The sequence below is a fragment of the Homo sapiens genome, chromosome 16, assembly GCF_000001405.40.
Source record: "Homo sapiens chromosome 16, GRCh38.p14 Primary Assembly".
Taxonomy (NCBI): Eukaryota; Metazoa; Chordata; class Mammalia; order Primates; family Hominidae; genus Homo; species Homo sapiens.
In genome coordinates, this window is record NC_000016.10 from 714,775 (window position 1) to 729,737 (window position 14,963).

Genomic DNA, 14,963 nt, shown 5'->3' on the forward strand with positions numbered 1-14,963 from the left:
GGTGGGCCACCTTCCCTACCGCCACCCCGAGGTTCCAGTGGACATCAAAACCTCGGCTCCATCAGAGGCTCCAGGACTCCGATCGGGACAGCGCGGGGGGCGAGGCCAGGGTGAGGGCGCGGCGAAGGAGAGACGCACAGCGCGGGGCGGGCAAGGAGCCTCCCTTCCGCGCCAAGGCCCCCCCCAACCCTCGAGGCGCTTGGACCGTGGGATAGTCCTCCGGCGGCGCCCGAGCTCCGGCCCCGCCCCCGCTCCGCCCCGCGCCTGCTATTGGCGGAAAGTTCCGGGCCGCGCCGCGACTGGCCGACACGCCGCAGGCCCCGCCCCCTTCCCGACCCGCTCCAAGGCGGCCCCGGCGCTGGGGCTGCGCGGCAGGCGGAGCGGCCGCGGGCTTGGGGGCTTCGCCGGGGCCGGGCGGCCGGCGCCCCCGGCTGCTCCCGCCGCCGCCCGGACCCGCGCCCCGCCGGGGCAGCGGTGGTGAGAGCCCCGACTCCCCGGACGCCGCCCGCCGTGCCATGGGGTTCCCGGCCGCGGCGCTGCTCTGCGCGCTGTGCTGCGGCCTCCTGGCCCCGGCTGCCCGCGCCGGCTACTCCGAGGAGCGCTGCAGCTGGAGGGGCAGGTACGGTCCGGGGGGCTGTCCCCGCACTTAGGACGGGGTGCGCTGCGGCTAGGACCCCCCAGGCGCCCCTCGGAGCGCGCAGAGCGCTGGGCCGGTTTCCCCATCCGCGAGGCGGCCTCGGGAGGGAGCGGGGGCTGCGCCGGGCGGGGACCCGCCCCCGTCTCAGCGCCCCGTCCCGTCCTGTCCCCAGCGGCCTCACCCAGGAGCCCGGCAGCGTGGGGCAGCTGGCCCTGGCCTGTGCGGAGGGCGCGGTTGAGTGGCTGTACCCGGCTGGGGCGCTGCGCCTGACCCTGGGCGGCCCCGATCCCAGAGCGCGGCCCGGCATCGCCTGTCTGCGGCCGGTGCGGCCCTTCGCGGGCGCCCAGGTCTTCGCGGAGCGCGCAGGGGGCGCCCTGGAGCTGCTGCTGGCCGAGGGCCCGGGCCCGGCAGGGGGCCGCTGCGTGCGCTGGGGTCCCCGCGAGCGCCGGGCCCTCTTCCTGCAGGCCACGCCGCACCAGGACATCAGCCGCCGCGTGGCCGCCTTCCGCTTTGAGCTGCGCGAGGACGGGCGCCCCGAGCTGCCCCCGCAGGCCCACGGTCTCGGCGTAGACGGTGAGTGGCGGTCTGGTTGGGACAGGGTGGGAGTCCCGAAGTCTTACCCTGCCTGGGCTTGGCGGGAATGTGCCTTGTCGGCCCCACTGCAGAAGGAAAAAGTGAGCTACAAGGGTTGGATGGGCTTGTCAGGCCACACAGCCTGGGACTGCTGGGGAGGGATGGCCTCCCCGCCCTCCCTTCCCGATTCATCTCTGGAAAGAGCTGGCAGGGGCAGAGTGGAGGGAAGGGGAGGCCGGGCCCAGCAATCCTGGGCCTCTGGTCCCTGAACGGTTGGGGGAAGAGATGGTGGGGACAGAATCGAAGCCTCCGGCCAAAGCTGTCCGGGGCTCCCTGGCCCAGCGGTGACCTCTCTCCCCTCCCCCAGCCCAACCAACAAAAGTCCAGTGTGCAGCCCGGTCACCATGGAGACGCCGCTCGCCTCCCTGCAGGGCACCAGGCCCAGCTCTTGCTTGGCTCTCCTGGAGCTTGGCGCCTGACCCTGAAAGGGATGGGCTCTCGCTATTCTGCCCCCTGGCCCTGGGCCAGGGACCCCAGACCACCCTTCCTCTGCCCCCACTTCCTATCACCCTAGCTGGGCTGCTGCTCTTCAGACCTCAGATCCGGGAAACTAGAGGGGTCCCAGATGCTGGGGTGCATATGTCAGATGGGAGTGCAGGAGGGCGGCCCAGGACAGCTGATCGCTAGGCATGGCCCCCAGGCCCACGTCTGTGTGCATTCCTGCCTTGGAGGTACGCGCCTGCAAGTGTGTTTCCTGAGTACAGGTGTCGCCGAGGGCGTGCACATCTGCTGTGTAGCTCTCTGGGACCCCCAGGTGCCATCAGGCCCTGAGCGTGGGCTCTGCTCATTTGCCTGCTGCCTCCTGCCGCTTGTGCGGACAAGGGACGGGGCCTGGGGTGATGCCGGGAGAGGGCAGGGCCTCTCCTCACCACCCCCTCTGCATGCCAGGTGCCTGCAGGCCCTGCAGCGACGCTGAGCTGCTCCTGGCCGCATGCACCAGCGACTTCGGTGAGTGTCCCCGCCATGGGGGGAGCCTGGAGCCTGCCTTCCCCTGAATGCCTACCGCAGCCACATGCCTCCCCACAGTAATTCACGGGATCATCCATGGGGTCACCCATGACGTGGAGCTGCAGGAGTCTGTCATCACTGTGGTGGCCGCCCGTGTCCTCCGCCAGACACCGCCGCTGTTCCAGGCGGGGCGATCCGGGGACCAGGGGCTGACCTCCATTCGTACCCCACTGCGCTGTGGCGTCCACCCGGGCCCAGGCACCTTCCTCTTCATGGGCTGGAGCCGCTTTGGGGAGGCCCGGCTGGGCTGTGCCCCACGATTCCAGGAGTTCCGCCGTGCCTACGAGGCTGCCCGTGCTGCCCACCTCCACCCCTGCGAGGTGGCGCTGCACTGAGGGGCTGGGTGCTGGGGAGGGGCTGGTAGGAGGGAGGGTGGGCCCACTGCTTTGGAGGTGATGGGACTATCAATAAGAACTCTGTTCACGCAAGCTGCTGTGGACCTGGTCTCCTGTGTCCAGCCCAGCCTTGGGCCTGCCTCGCAGCTGTGAGGATGGCTCCAATTCCTGCCTCCTGGCGGGAGACTGAGGCTCAGGGGAATGGTATCTTGTTCAAGACCATTTGGCAACTGAGAGGGAGAGCAGATGTCAGGAGGAGCTACACCCACATTCCGGGGAGGGGCCGCTGCTGGGTGGGGGGCACGTGGGGACCTGCACTCATGCAAGCTTCTGCTCTGCTGCACCCACCAGCCCCGTCCTTGCCCGCACCCTTGCCTGCTTCCCTGGCTGGCTCCCACTTGCCTCCCGTGCCAGGTGCTTCTGGGGCTCAGCAGGAGAGGAAAGGGGCAGAGGGGCATAGGGTCCCTCGGGTACGGTGGGGGCAGGCGGGCGCACAGCGCTCCGGCTCTGAGCCAGGCCTGTGAGGGAAGGGGCTGCAGGCTGGCAGGGTGCCGACTTCCCCCATGGCTGCTGTGAGCCCGCAGAGTCATCCTTGGCCCCGTCCCGCCCTTGGGGAAGAATGGGCCCCTCTGTCCTCAGGCCCCTTCGACGTGCTGAGCATCCAGACGTGGCGAGGAGCCCGAAGGGTGTGGGGTCCCCTCTGCAGGGTCCTGCTTGTTGCCTGTTTCCGGCGGGCGGGGTGCACAATGGGGTCTCTAAGGACCGTTTCCCGCCACTGGCCCCATTGTCACTGTCTCCGCCTTCCTCCTCGGCCTTTCAGCCGCATAAAGGGCCAGTGAGGTTTGGGACAGCCACAGCCCAAGGCTCCGAGGCTAAAAGCCCCTGGGTGGGGGTGTTCCAGGACACCTGGCCCTGTGTGAGCTGCCTCCTCTCACCCCAACCCCTCGGATCCTGGGAAAGAGACAGCCATGGCTCAAGGGCCAGGGACCCCTGGGCTGAGCCCCAGAAATGGCTTTCCATTCTCGCCTGGGCCGGGGTGGGGGTGGAGGCCAGAGGCCCTGCCCAGGCAGATGAAGCCCCCAGCTTTCAAGGGGGAAACTGAGGCTGTGTGAGGGACACAGCTGTGCAGGGCCCACAAACACGGTCCTTTCTCTAGGTTAGCGGATGCAGATGCCTGATGAGTGCCATGCCCTCTGTGGACACCTGGGGAGGGGGGTCACCTCCAGCGCCGCCCTGGGACTTCCACTGCACGTGCAAGAGACTTACCCTTTCACACAGATCACCTGCCTGCCGCAGGGCTGATGAGGATGGGTGAGGAGCGCAGCCACTGGGTGTCATGCACTGTGGGGGTTCTCCCACCTTCTGCCCCTCCTCAGGTTCCTTGCTGCTTCTCTCCTCTCCCAACTGTGGCACGCTGAGGGCTCAGGCACAGGACCGCTCCTCTGGGGCAGCCTCCAATAACCCTTGGACAACCTCCACTTTTTCATCTTCAGCCCTGACCACTCCCTGGGGCCCATAGCCTTACATCCATCTGCCCCCAGCCCAAACACTTCTGCAAACACTAGAAAAGGAGGTAGCCCGTGTGCCCTCCTGCACCGCCTCCTCCACTCCTGTCTTGGAGAGGCTTTCCCGTGGGCCGAGCAACCCCCTTACCTTTGGCACTTGCCCTGATTCTCTGGCCAGCTTCCTACAACCTCTCCTTTTCAGCCACACCCAAGTCCACCTGTTCACAAACACCCTGGGCTGGGCCCTGGCCGAACCCTGGCTTCTACCTACCTGTCTCAGGAAGTGCCTGAGCCTTGCACCTACAGACCCTCCCAGAGAAAGCCCTGGCTTTGCAACCAGCTGTCTTCTCATGAGACACAGGGCCACAGGAGCACCACGGTGCCCAAATGGGTCTTGGAGCATTAGACCAGGGGCTTCATGCCTGCCCTGGGGACAGGTGGCCAAAGTGGCATGGGAGATAGGGAGACAGTGTGGGTGAGCAGGTGGGCAGGAGCTACAGGAGCCTGGGGCCTGTGGATCACAGACACCGCCAGGCAAGTGCCAGTTCACACAGGTACAGGTGGCTGCAGAGTGCCCAAAGGCCAAGCAGCAGAGTGCCTGGTGTGGACGGGAGAGGAGTGGGGAGGTTGGGCGCAGTGGCTCACGCCTGTAATCCCAACACTTTGGGAGGCCCAGGCAAGCAGATCATGAGGTCAGGAGATGGAGACCATCCTGGCCAACATGGTGAAACCGTCTCTAATAAAACACAAAAAATTAGCCAGACATGGTGGCATGCATCTGTAATCCCAGCTACTCAAAAGGCTGAGGCAGAGGAATCACTTGAACCTGGAAGGCAGAGGTTGCAGTGAGCCAAGACTGCGCCACTGCACTCCAACCTGGGCGAAAGAGCGAGACTCAAGTCTCAAAAAAAAAAAAAAAAAAAAAAAAAAAAAAAAAAGAAGAGTGGAGAGTGCACGCTAGAGTCCAATTAGGTGCATTCATCCAGTAAGCCTCCTAGGTAACTGCTCTAGGTGCAGGGAATAATGCAGGCAGCAGGACAGGAATGGGCGCTGTCAGCTCCCCCTAGAGCTCAGTGTACATACACCCTTCCTTTCCTGGGAGGGCCGTTCCAGGCCCCCAGGAGACAGGACACGCTGAGCTGGGTGGGGCTGGGGCCAACGTGGGCAGGCCTGTGAGACTCTGCACTTGGGAGCTGGGGGCTGTGGTCTGCGGCATACCCATGTCTGGAAGCAGCCTCTGTCCCTGCAGGGGCTCTAGACCCCAGCCACGGATGGCTAAGGAGGAGCTAGGCCAGGGCACGCATAGACAACCCCCGACATTCACGGGTGTTCAGCCCTACCCTGGGTGTGGAGGTCGTGGCCCAGCTGCCTGACCCAGAGCTCGGCTCTTCCACTTGCGCTTCCCACCCCCAGCTTCACAAGGTCACCTCCAGGAACTCAGTCTTTTTGTGTGTTGTTTTCTGGAGAAGGAAGGTGATCTCCCCACTCCCGGGGCTGTCTGCCTTCCCTGTAGCTGGCAGGTGCCAGAGGCCCCCGCCTGTGACATCCGGCTTTCCTCCCACCACACTCGCCTGAGAGCCAGCATCTGTCTTCTTGGGCCTGCTCAAGCTCTCCTCCGTGTCAGCCCCTCCTCCATGCCCTTCTCCCTCAGACCCCACCCCCCATCCCTTCACCGCCCACTGGGGCTCATCGCTCAGGCTGTAGGAGGGAAATGGAAGGATGTCCTCCCGGGCTCTGGCTGGCGCTGGGTGTCCGAGTCAGCGGAGCGCCCCCAGCAGTCTCCCCGAGGCAGAGTCATGGGGGTGCTGGCGCCTGGACGCTGTCTCATCCCGGGGAGCCGCTTTCCCACCGGCTCCCTGGGCTCCAGCCGCCCCACGCGAGCCCCCGGCTGGTTCTGGGGCCAGGACCGCCCCTCTCCAAGGCAGACTTCCCTTCATTCCACGACAAAGACGCGCAGCCCCGTTTCCCTGGGGCTCTAGCCCGTGAGATCGCCGGGTGTATCCCGACTCCCGCCGGCACGTGCGCTCCCCCAGGGCAGGGCCTGCCTGTCCCCTTCCGCGGGTCGCCAGCAGCCAGCACAGGCCGCAAACGGCGGTCCGCAGAGCGGACCAACGGAGCCGACCCTCGCAGGCTTGGAGCCGGACGCGGCGGGGCAGAGCCCCCGAGGCTGCAGCTCGCCGGAACCCGCGGGAGGGCAGCCGGGCTGGGCGGAGCGCACAGCGCCACGGACCGACCGCGCAGGCTCTGCCGGCCACTTCCGGTGTCGCGCGGCGGCTCCCGGCAGGAGGCAGAGGGCACACCGCCAGCCCCAGGCCAGGCTGCGAGGGCCGCGGACCCGAGCCGGGAAGGACCTTGGGCGGACGAGCCGCGCGTCCCGCAGCCATGGAGCAGGACGACCCGGTCGAGGCGCTGACGGAGCTGCGCGAGCGGCGGCTGGGCGCGCTGGAGCTGCTGCAGGCGGCGGCCGGCTCGGGCTTGGCAGCCTACGCGGTGTGGGCGCTGCTGCTCCAGCCCGGCTTCCGGCGCGTGCCGCTGCGGCTGCAGGTGCGGGGCGGGGCCAGGCCGGGCAGGGGAGCTCGGCTGCCGCTCAGGGTCTCAAGGTCTGGGCGTGGCCGGGGTGAGCTCCGCCCCGCCGTGTGGTAGTTCGGGCCGGGCTGCGGGCGGGGCGGGAGCGGCCAGTGGACTCTCGCCGCCACCCGGTCCAGGTGCCCTACGTCGGCGCGAGCGCGCGGCAGGTGGAGCACGTGTTGTCGCTGCTGCGAGGACGCCCCGGAAAAACGGTGGATCTGGGCTCTGGCGACGGCAGGATCGTAAGTGCCTGCGTCTGGGTCTTCGCCGCCCCACACCGCCCACCTGCTGGCGGGCGCCCCTGCCCACATCCTGGTTCCCACACTCTCGGTGCCCACAGGTGCTGGCGGCCCACAGGTGCGGCCTCCGCCCGGCCGTGGGCTACGAGCTGAACCCCTGGCTGGTGGCGCTGGCGCGGCTGCACGCCTGGAGGGCCGGCTGTGCCGGCAGCGTCTGCTATCGCCGCAAGGATCTCTGGAAGGTAACCTGGGGATCCCTGGCCACCCGCTGACAGCCCAAGGTGCGGCTGACACCTGCGAGGGCTGGGGGCCGGGACTCGGAAGCTGCGATGACCCGGTGCCCACCAGGCCTCTCCCCGGCCGGGGCGACTTCTCTTCCGGCAGGTGAGCCTGAGGGACTGCCGCAACGTGTCTGTGTTCCTGGCCCCTAGCGTGGTAGGTGCGGGGTTGCCAGCCCCGCTGGGAAGCCCCAGCCACACCCCAGGGTGTTTGCTGCTCTGAGGCCTGGGCCTGCCTGGTGGGTGCTAGGCTTGGGGCTAGGGGGGTGAGCGCGGCTGTTTTCTACCGGCCCCGCCCCCGCCCCCTCTACTCTGCTGTTCTCTCCCTCAGCTCCCGCTGCTGGAGGACAAGCTGCGGACAGAGCTGCCTGCTGGGGCCCGCGTGGTGTCTGGGCGCTTCCCACTCCCCACCTGGCAGCCTGTGACCGCGGTTGGCGAGGGCCTGGACCGAGTATGGGCTTATGATGTTCCTGAGGGTGGGCAGGCTGGGGAGGCCGCCTCCTCGCGGATACCCATCCAGGCTGCCCCCGGACCTAGTTCTGCCCCCATCCCGGGGGGCCTTATTTCTCAGGCCAGCTGAGTATTAGACACGATAAAGACTCTGTGGGTTCTATCCTGACTCATGTTTTATGGGGGGCTGGGTGGGAGGGTTCTGTGCTGGCTGAGGAGCTCTGCTCTGCTCTGCTCCTTGGGAGACGGCCTAGTGGCTGCCGGTCCTTGGATGCTGGGGCTTGGCTGGAGGCACAGCCCCCACTTTCCAGGGGTCCCCTGCACCTGCCAGCTTCCTCAGCCTCAGGATTTCGTGCTTGTACCTGCTCAGAGGAACCATGCTTAAGTGACTTGCCCAGCTGTGGACAGGTCTGCTTTTAGCGCCTGAGGCAGCCATCATCCTTCATTCCAACCAGACCAGGGCCCTGGGGTCACACCCAGCTCCCTCTGCCCACCTGCCCAGGTGCTGGTCCACGTACTCCTGTAGCTCAGAAAGTTGCTCTTCAGCCATCGTGGCCCGGACCAGCAGCTGTGCCCGCTCCCGTTCCAGCTCTGCCTGGCATGGGGATGTAAGCCATGAGCTGGGGCATGGCGTGAGGATGGGCCTGGGCCAGCCCTTGCCTCCTACCTGGGTGCTGCGGGAGAAGTCCCGGAGCTTCTGGTGGATCTGGGCCCAGGATGCAGCGTCCAGGCCCCTGTGAGGGGAGAGGAAAGGAGGAGTGGTTTTGAGAGCTGGCATGGTGACACAGGGACAGACGTGACCGTGCTGAGTCAGGTTCCCAGAGCCGGGAGGGGACACCTGGGAGTGAGTGAGGGAGGCATGGGCCCCCCCCGTGCTCCTGTGGCGCCCCCCCCAGGCCTTGGAGCCATCCGTGTATAGGGACAGCCCGGGCCCAGGGGGTCTGCTGGCTGCTGGGGGAGGGCTAAACCACAAGGCCAGCCCAGACAGTGACTCCAGCATCAACAGGGATGCCACCCCCACACGGGTGTGCCCTAAACCCCAGGAAATGGTCCTTGGGGAGCCCTGCCCATTGTACAGCTGGGAACATGGAGGCCCAGAGGCAAGGGCTGGCCCGGTCACCAGGCGCCCTGCTCCCACCCCTCGCGTCCTCCAGGTCTCAGCGGAAACCTCCCTCAGGTGTGCTCTCCCTGATCCTCCGTGTTCAAGGCCAGCTCCACCTGCAGCAGCCCCTCTTCTCTTTCCTGTGATTATCAGTGTCGCCGGGACCCACGGAGGGACCCCAGGGTGGGGATGTGCCACTGAGTGCATTGCTGTGACCAGACCCTGTCTGGCGGGGGCTTGGTGGAGCAACTGGGGGCCCCAGGGTGCAGGCGTTGTGCTCTCTGCTCATCCCCCACAGGCCTCCCCCACACCCATGAGGGCACTCACTGTGGCTCTGATGTTCCCCCCTGGGAGGCTCCACCGGGTCTCTTTTTTGGGGATGAGAGCAGTGCCCCAGGCCCGCCGTGCTACAGAGGTTTGTGGTGGGGACGTTTCAGTTGGCTGAACAAGGCAAGCCCCTCAGAGGCCCGGGGCTGAGGTCTCTGTTGAGCCCAGGATGAGGCCTGGGGCCAGTGTGGGGCAGTGGGTGGGTGGGGGGCACCCGGGCCTGGAGCTTCTGGGGGTCTCTAGCCTCACCTGGTCCTCCCGATGGCTGAAGTCAGTGACCAGGGGCACGGGCAATGGTTCCAGGTCCAAGCTGGCTATGTCAAAAATAGCTTGGGGGTTCCCAGGTGCCCTGTCAGGGTAGGCTAGTGTCTGTCTGGGGCCACTCCTGCTGCACACCAAGCCTTTGAGGCACAGAGGCTTAGAGACCCACAGATGCCTGACACCTCCCATCCCAGCGGGGCCCACCTGTAGGCAACCAGTAGCTCTTCATGCCTGCGGCTCAGATCCACCAGCCTCTTGTGGTAGCTGCGGGCAGCCCGGGCCAGCTGCTGCTCACGGCTGCGGTGCGCTGCCCGGATGTCCTCCAGAGTCGCCTCCAGGAATGTCCGGAGGGCCGTGGTGGCTGGCGCTTGGCCTGCACCATCTGCGTGCTCCTGGAGGCGGCGGGCTGGGTCCGCATGGGGCCCACCCCCCATCTTTTCCAACCATCCCCCCACCCCAGCAGGCTGAGCAGTGCCGGGGCCCTGGGGTCTCCCTGAAGCTATCCAGCACACCCAGGCCAGGCTTGGGCTCCCTAGGCCTCAGGGTGCTCCTGCAGGGCTCACCACTGCCTGCCAGGCGCAGTGTTGCAGCCGTAGGACGTACTCATCCTTCAGTTTCTTGAGCTGCAGCTGCAGCCGGGCATTTTCAGCCTCTGCCTGACGGAGCTGGCCTTGGCAGCTGCACAGCACCTGGGGTGGAAGCAGCCCTCCACCTGTGCCCTGAGAGTGGACCCCGGCTGAGCTTCTGGGGCCCCCACCCTCCAGGTCTCCAAGCAGTCAGGGCAGAGCCTCACCACAGCCTGTGTGGCCAGTCGCTGCCCGGCTGCCCTGGCCTCCTCTCGGGCTCCCTGCAGCTGCCGGCCCAGGGTTGCCCTGAAGACACGGGGGTGAGGCTCAGCAGGCCCACGATCAGGGGTTCTCTCTGCTCCAGGATGGGGCCCCAGGTGAGATGGCCACTCACACACGCGTCACCAGTGCCTGCTGCCGGGCCTCCTGATGCTCCAGCGCCCACTTCACTTCCCCCTGCAGCTGTGGGGCACACAGGGCTGGCTGGATGAGACCCTAGGCTTGGGGTCTCTGGTGCTGCCCTCTCCCCTGAGCTAGGTGGCTGCACACTCACGCCGCTCCCCAGCCTGTGCTGCTCATTCTCGGGGTTCATGGTGTTCTTGGGCTGCACCTGAATGGAAGGGAGGGCAGGGAAAGCTAAGGGGTGGGTGAGCCCCAGTTTCACTGAGGCCCCTGCTGAGGCTTCCCTCTGGCCTTTCCCAGCCAGGCTCTCCATATGCTCATGGTAACCTGGAATCTGTGGTCATCAGAGTGTCCAGGCACCTGGGCTTTGTGTCTGAGCTCTTGGGCTGCTGCCCGGGGATGCCTGGGGTCAGACTCCACTGGGACTGCACAGCCCTGGCTGGTGCCATCTCCTCGCAGCTCCAGCTCCAGTACCCGGCTCTCCAGCCGAAGGATCTGTGGGACAACTGGCATGAGCAGGTGCACCTGCCCGCGGGCCACCTGGGGTAGGTGAACATTCACCCGGTGCACGCTCAGGGGCGCGCAGCACTCAGAGGCAGGCTGAGACCCACAGATGCCATGTGCGTGTGCATGCCCATGCAGGGCACGTGTCCTGGGCCTGCACCCCCCGTCCCCCATGCACTGAGGCTGGTTCACACGGCTGCTCACCTCACTCTTCAGCTGGAAGATTTCAGCCTCATGCTGCTCATGTAGGTGGTGGGTTGTGATCTGAATGTCGACCAGCTCCTTGGAGATCTGTGGGTGGCCAGGTGAGAGGTGGCGTCTGTGGGCCCTGCTGGCACCCTCCCTCCTCACGAGCACGCTGGGGCCCCACACCCACCTGCAGCTGCTGCTCCTTATTGAGCGCTAGATCTGGTGGGACCTCTGCTTCCAAGCTGGTGGCCCACACTGCGGTGCCCCCAGGAGCTCCTGGCAGCCAGTCCTTGGCTCGTAGCACAACCTGGGGAGGTACCGCCACCCATTCCCCAGGTGGGTCCCAGGCTGGGCTGTGGCCCCACTCCCATGCAGTCACCAGTCCCGCCTCCCTGCCTGGCTGAGCTGTAAAAGTCCCTCTCCTGGCTGAAATTAGGCCCAGGGTGCAGGAACCTGCACCCTCCTGGCCTTTGGGGGAACGGGCAGACTTCAACCCCATGGCAGGAGCGGCAAGTCCCAGAGGACTCACATTCTCCACCCGCCGAGAGGGAGGTCCAGGCCTGGGGCCTGTGGTGGCTGCGTGCTCCATAGGCTAGGGAACCCTGGCCAGCTCCGAGCCCGGTGCTGCCTCCACGCCCGGCTTCCCCATGGCTGCTGCTGCCACTGGCACTGCTAAGTGCGTTGCCAAGGCCTCTGTTGGTCCCAGGTGACTCCCAGGGCACCGCCCACAGGGGCCGGCCAGACCGGTGGTTGCTGAGGAGGGAGGATAGCTCTTCCTCTCTCCATGCCTCCGTTTCCCCATCTGGGGAATGCGGCCCAGCGCCCCCTGCACATACCCTGTGCAGATGGAACCAGGTGCGTGAAAGCGCCCAGCCTGGGCGCAGCGGACGAGCACGCGGAACGGAGCGGCAGCCCGCCCGCAGGATGCCCTGAGCTACACTCGCTGGACACCTTCTGTGTACCTAGCAGTGCTGGCTGAGCCCCGGGACGGGGGAAGTATATCTCTGCACCTCTGGCCTGAGAAGAGGGGCGCAGACGTCCCCATCAGGGGCCGGAGAACTCGGAAACGACTGGCTCAGCCGGGGCGTCGGGAGGGCTTCCTGGAGGAGGTGCCAGCGCCGGGCGCGGCGGGGTCGGAGCGTGCGCGTGGCGCCCCACCGGGCACGCGCACCGCCGGCGGGCCTTGTGGTCTCATCGCGCGCAGGATCCGGGCCGGGCGGGGGCGGGGGCGGGGCGCGTCCGCGGAGGGGGGCGGTTGGCGGCTCCCGAGCCCAGCGCCGCGCTCAGTCCGGACCCCGTGACCGGCGGCCGAGGCCCCGCCTCCGTCAGTCTGTCCTTCGGGTCCTCAGCACAGCCGTGCCGGTGAGGCGGGCGGCGGGGGAACGCGGCTGTCCCGGGTCAGGGGTCTTGCGGCGGCAGGGCGGGGGGCCGAGGGGCGGGGCCTGGGAGGAAGGCGTGGCCTTTGGGGACTGGGGCTCGGACTGGGGGCGGAGCCGGGGCTGGTTGGGGACCGGCCGGGTTCCGCTCCTGCTGGAGCCCGGTGCGTGGAATTCCACGCGAGTGCCGGGGAGTTCCTGGGGAGCCGGGCTTCTCTTTTGGCCCCCAGCGTGTTGACCGAGCCCGCTTCGCACAGCCCTTCCTAGGGTGTGGAGAGCGGGCCCCGCCCTGAAGGGGCACCGTGGGCTGGGGGGCCTGTTTTGGAGCAGGCACCGGTGGCCGAGCTCCGTGACCATGAAGGTCAAGGTCATCCCCGTGCTCGAGGACAACTACATGTACCTGGTCATCGAGGAGCTCACGCGCGAGGCGGTGGCCGTGGACGTGGCTGTGCCCAAGAGGGTGAGGGCAGGCCGCGGGCCGCAGGGACCCGGCCGTGTCCCCCGAGAGCCTCCCCGACCCCCCTGGTAGGAGCGAGCCCCCACGTGCTCTGCTCTCCGGAAGTCATTGGCGGCTGGGGTTCCTTGTTTATCTTGGGGCTCCCTGAAGTTACGGCACCTCTGGCCTCCGCCCTTTCGCTGCTGCCTGGCGGTCCCTGCACGCGCTGGGCGCAGTCACCGCCCGCTGGGTCCCCGCTCCCCGGCGCTCCCCGGGGCTCTGGCCGGCCTGGGGCAGTGAGCGCGGCGGATCCCGATATGGAGGGAGTGGGCCACCGGGACCGTCTGTGTTACCGTCACTCCCGTCCCTTTCAGCTGCTGGAGATCGTGGGCCGGGAGGGGGTGTCTCTGACCGCTGTGCTGACCACCCACCATCACTGGTGAGCGCCGGCGGGGCGCGGGGAGGCACGAGGACGCCGCCTTGTCCCAACCCGACCTAACCCGGCCCCCGCCCGCCCGCCCGCAGGGACCACGCGCGGGGAAACCCGGAGCTGGCGCGGCTTCGTCCCGGGCTGGCGGTGCTGGGCGCGGACGAGCGCATCTTCTCGCTGACGCGCAGGCTGGCGCACGGCGAGGAGCTGCGGGTGAGCGCGCGCTCCCGGGAGGGGCGGGGAGGGCGCCCCGGGTCCACCCGCCCTCACAGGTCCGCCTGCTCCTCCGCCGCAGTTCGGGGCCATCCACGTGCGTTGCCTCCTGACGCCCGGCCACACCGCCGGCCACATGAGCTACTTCCTGTGGGAGGACGATTGCCCGGACCCACCCGCCCTGTTCTCGGGTACCCGCAGCGCGGAGCGCGCCCACCCCGCCTCCCGCCGGCCCCGCCCCATCTGCTCTGACCCGCCCTCCCCCGCCAGGCGACGCGCTGTCGGTGGCCGGCTGCGGCTCGTGCCTGGAGGGCAGCGCCCAGCAGATGTACCAGAGCCTGGCCGAGCTGGGTACCCTGCCCCCCGAGACGGTGAGCGGGCCTGGGCCCTCCCCTCTTCTCCCGTGGGCACAGCCCCCACGCTCCGCACCCTCACTGTGCTAGGGGTGCAGAGTGAATGCCCACCTGAGGGCAGACCGGGCAGGGGAGGCCAGGCCCCCGGCGCAAGCACTTTCCCCGCTTCCTGGCCGCGTGCGCGCTCACCGAGCGCTCTTCCTCCAGAAGGTGTTCTGCGGCCACGAGCACACGCTTAGCAACCTGGAGTTTGCCCAGAAAGTGGAGCCCTGCAACGACCACGTGAGAGCCAAGCTGTCCTGGGCTAAGGCACGGCCCCTTTCCCGCCGCGGCAAGAGGGTGGGGGGGGAGGGAACAGGCTTCGGGGTGGGGGGGGCTCTCAGACAAGGCCTAATGGTGACCGGGGCCTGTGGTCACTCCAGAAGAGGGATGAGGATGACGTGCCCACTGTGCCGTCGACTCTGGGCGAGGAGCGCCTCTACAACCCCTTCCTGCGGGTGGCGTGAGTATGGCTGTTGTCCCGGGGCCTCCACCGTTACGTGGACCCTTAGGAAGGCATCTGGGGACTGCGTGTTGGGCTGAGTGAGCATCTCTGGCTTGGGGGAGGCTGCTCATTAAGTGCCTGCCTGCCCGCCCACCCCTCGGCGCCATGCTCCCGCGTGGGCAGCGGGCCCTGCGCCTCACTGCACCCCTCCCTGCAGAGAGGAGCCGGTGCGCAAGTTCACGGGCAAGGCGGTCCCCGCCGACGTCCTGGAGGCGCTATGCAAGGAGCGGGCGCGCTTCGAACAGGCGGGCGAGCCGCGGCAGCCACAGGCGCGGGCCCTCCTTGCGCTGCAGTGGGGGCTCCTGAGTGCAGCCCCACACGACTGAGCCACCCAGACCCTCACAGGGCTGGGGCCTGCGTCCCTCCTCGTGACCTCGGCCAGCTGGACCCACATGAGGGCCACCTCTGGAACCTTCTTCGAGGCCCTGGCCAGCCATCTGCCCAGCCTCGGAGGGTGGGCAACCTGGTGCTTCCCGGGTGGACACACAGGACCACTCAGTGGGGCCTGTGTGGGCGCCGAGACCTGGGTGTCTGGGAAGTGGGGCACACGGGGCCTCCGAACTATGAATAAAGCTTTGAAAGGCCGTTGTCAGTGTTGGCAGATGTG

The 14,963-nt window shown here is 67.6% G+C and overlaps 4 protein-coding genes across 51 annotated transcripts, besides 16 other annotated features; 3 read left to right on the plus strand and 1 right to left on the minus strand.

The window, feature by feature from the left end:
- Nucleotides 103-412: a silencer, noted in NCBI's record as "silent region_6945". NCBI's record gives its function as "represses an Ori minimal core promoter by ATAC-STARR-seq in GM12878 lymphoblastoid cells {active_cell/tissue: GM12878}" and the evidence as "EXISTENCE:reporter gene assay evidence [ECO:0000049][PMID:35858748]".
- On the plus strand, nt 344-4,881 carry METRN (meteorin, glial cell differentiation regulator). Its single transcript, NM_024042.4, has 4 exons — nt 344-619; nt 810-1,210; nt 2,159-2,218; nt 2,297-4,881. Exons 1-4 carry the CDS (start codon nt 516-518, stop codon nt 2,611-2,613), a joined length of 882 nt encoding a protein of 293 aa, NP_076947.1. The 5' UTR covers nt 344-515; the 3' UTR covers nt 2,614-4,881.
- Nucleotides 513-942: a silencer, noted in NCBI's record as "silent region_6946". NCBI's record gives its function as "represses an Ori minimal core promoter by ATAC-STARR-seq in GM12878 lymphoblastoid cells {active_cell/tissue: GM12878}" and the evidence as "EXISTENCE:reporter gene assay evidence [ECO:0000049][PMID:35858748]".
- Nucleotides 513-1,154: a biological region, named in NCBI's record as "H3K27ac-H3K4me1 hESC enhancer GRCh37_chr16:765331-765928".
- Nucleotides 557-1,154: an enhancer, noted in NCBI's record as "H3K27ac-H3K4me1 hESC enhancer chr16:765331-765928 (GRCh37/hg19 assembly coordinates)". NCBI's record gives its function as "activates a minimal SCP1, AML or CMV promoter by ChIP-STARR-seq in naive H9 embryonic stem cells {active_cell/tissue: H9 hESC(naive)}" and the evidence as "EXISTENCE:reporter gene assay evidence [ECO:0000049][PMID:30033119]".
- Nucleotides 1,043-1,102: a silencer, noted in NCBI's record as "silent region_6947". NCBI's record gives its function as "represses an Ori minimal core promoter by ATAC-STARR-seq in GM12878 lymphoblastoid cells {active_cell/tissue: GM12878}" and the evidence as "EXISTENCE:reporter gene assay evidence [ECO:0000049][PMID:35858748]".
- Nucleotides 1,155-1,752: an enhancer, noted in NCBI's record as "H3K27ac-H3K4me1 hESC enhancer chr16:765929-766526 (GRCh37/hg19 assembly coordinates)". NCBI's record gives its function as "activates a minimal SCP1, AML or CMV promoter by ChIP-STARR-seq in primed H9 embryonic stem cells {active_cell/tissue: H9 hESC(primed)}" and the evidence as "EXISTENCE:reporter gene assay evidence [ECO:0000049][PMID:30033119]".
- Nucleotides 1,753-2,350: an enhancer, noted in NCBI's record as "H3K27ac-H3K4me1 hESC enhancer chr16:766527-767124 (GRCh37/hg19 assembly coordinates)". NCBI's record gives its function as "activates a minimal SCP1, AML or CMV promoter by ChIP-STARR-seq in primed H9 embryonic stem cells {active_cell/tissue: H9 hESC(primed)}" and the evidence as "EXISTENCE:reporter gene assay evidence [ECO:0000049][PMID:30033119]".
- Nucleotides 4,948-5,655: an enhancer, noted in NCBI's record as "H3K4me1 hESC enhancer chr16:769722-770429 (GRCh37/hg19 assembly coordinates)". NCBI's record gives its function as "activates a minimal SCP1, AML or CMV promoter by ChIP-STARR-seq in naive H9 embryonic stem cells {active_cell/tissue: H9 hESC(naive)}" and the evidence as "EXISTENCE:reporter gene assay evidence [ECO:0000049][PMID:30033119]".
- Nucleotides 5,656-6,362: an enhancer, noted in NCBI's record as "H3K27ac-H3K4me1 hESC enhancer chr16:770430-771136 (GRCh37/hg19 assembly coordinates)". NCBI's record gives its function as "activates a minimal SCP1, AML or CMV promoter by ChIP-STARR-seq in primed H9 embryonic stem cells {active_cell/tissue: H9 hESC(primed)}" and the evidence as "EXISTENCE:reporter gene assay evidence [ECO:0000049][PMID:30033119]".
- Nucleotides 5,656-6,932: a biological region, named in NCBI's record as "H3K27ac-H3K4me1 hESC enhancer GRCh37_chr16:770430-771136".
- Nucleotides 6,013-6,932: a silencer, noted in NCBI's record as "silent region_6948". NCBI's record gives its function as "represses an Ori minimal core promoter by ATAC-STARR-seq in GM12878 lymphoblastoid cells {active_cell/tissue: GM12878}" and the evidence as "EXISTENCE:reporter gene assay evidence [ECO:0000049][PMID:35858748]".
- On the plus strand, nt 6,372-7,816 carry ANTKMT (adenine nucleotide translocase lysine methyltransferase). Of its 2 annotated transcripts, NM_023933.3 has the most exons (5): nt 6,372-6,662; nt 6,824-6,928; nt 7,027-7,167; nt 7,310-7,360; nt 7,535-7,816. In NM_023933.3, exons 1-5 carry the CDS (start codon nt 6,501-6,503, stop codon nt 7,781-7,783), a joined length of 708 nt encoding a protein of 235 aa, NP_076422.1. In that variant the 5' UTR covers nt 6,372-6,500; the 3' UTR covers nt 7,784-7,816. The 2 variants fall into 2 exon arrangements, with proteins under 2 accessions (NP_076422.1, NP_001258214.1); NM_001271285.2 differs by lacking the exon at nt 7,310-7,360.
- Nucleotides 7,808-12,106, minus strand: CCDC78 (coiled-coil domain containing 78). Of its 33 annotated transcripts, none has more exons than NM_001031737.3 (14): nt 11,534-11,669; nt 11,192-11,311; nt 11,020-11,106; nt 10,639-10,806; nt 10,463-10,519; nt 10,304-10,371; nt 10,137-10,215; nt 9,907-10,032; nt 9,548-9,735; nt 9,332-9,431; nt 9,083-9,162; nt 8,321-8,387; nt 8,148-8,244; nt 7,808-8,015 (listed from the first exon to the last, which is right to left on the minus strand). In NM_001031737.3, the coding sequence occupies exons 1-14, from the start codon at nt 11,591-11,593 to the stop codon at nt 7,996-7,998; spliced, it is 1,317 nt and encodes a 438-aa protein (NP_001026907.2). In that variant the 5' UTR covers nt 11,594-11,669; the 3' UTR covers nt 7,808-7,995. The 33 variants fall into 33 exon arrangements, 28 of the variants coding, with proteins under 28 accessions (NP_001026907.2, NP_001364959.1, XP_047289562.1 ...); NM_001378030.1 differs by having other exon boundaries at nt 8,148-8,248; NR_165384.1 differs by lacking the exon at nt 11,534-11,669 and adding an exon at nt 12,015-12,106 and having other exon boundaries at nt 8,148-8,248; nt 9,548-10,032; nt 10,306-10,371; nt 10,672-10,806.
- Nucleotides 12,134-12,513: a silencer, noted in NCBI's record as "silent region_6949". NCBI's record gives its function as "represses an Ori minimal core promoter by ATAC-STARR-seq in GM12878 lymphoblastoid cells {active_cell/tissue: GM12878}" and the evidence as "EXISTENCE:reporter gene assay evidence [ECO:0000049][PMID:35858748]".
- HAGHL (hydroxyacylglutathione hydrolase like) lies at nt 12,332-14,941 on the plus strand. 15 transcript variants are annotated; one of them, NM_001323635.2, is made up of 9 exons: nt 12,332-12,401; nt 12,638-12,840; nt 13,191-13,255; nt 13,342-13,459; nt 13,542-13,650; nt 13,730-13,830; nt 14,020-14,121; nt 14,235-14,314; nt 14,514-14,941. In NM_001323635.2, the coding sequence occupies exons 2-9, from the start codon at nt 12,736-12,738 to the stop codon at nt 14,680-14,682; spliced, it is 849 nt and encodes a 282-aa protein (NP_001310564.1). In that variant the 5' UTR covers nt 12,332-12,401; nt 12,638-12,735; the 3' UTR covers nt 14,683-14,941. The 15 variants fall into 15 exon arrangements, with proteins under 15 accessions (NP_001310564.1, XP_047290753.1, XP_047290751.1 ...); XM_047434797.1 differs by having other exon boundaries at nt 14,020-14,094; XM_047434795.1 differs by having other exon boundaries at nt 14,023-14,121.
- Nucleotides 12,994-13,143: a silencer, noted in NCBI's record as "silent region_6950". NCBI's record gives its function as "represses an Ori minimal core promoter by ATAC-STARR-seq in GM12878 lymphoblastoid cells {active_cell/tissue: GM12878}" and the evidence as "EXISTENCE:reporter gene assay evidence [ECO:0000049][PMID:35858748]".
- Nucleotides 13,264-13,373: a silencer, noted in NCBI's record as "silent region_6951". NCBI's record gives its function as "represses an Ori minimal core promoter by ATAC-STARR-seq in GM12878 lymphoblastoid cells {active_cell/tissue: GM12878}" and the evidence as "EXISTENCE:reporter gene assay evidence [ECO:0000049][PMID:35858748]".
- Nucleotides 13,384-13,563: a silencer, noted in NCBI's record as "silent region_6952". NCBI's record gives its function as "represses an Ori minimal core promoter by ATAC-STARR-seq in GM12878 lymphoblastoid cells {active_cell/tissue: GM12878}" and the evidence as "EXISTENCE:reporter gene assay evidence [ECO:0000049][PMID:35858748]".
- Nucleotides 13,594-13,853: a silencer, noted in NCBI's record as "silent region_6953". NCBI's record gives its function as "represses an Ori minimal core promoter by ATAC-STARR-seq in GM12878 lymphoblastoid cells {active_cell/tissue: GM12878}" and the evidence as "EXISTENCE:reporter gene assay evidence [ECO:0000049][PMID:35858748]".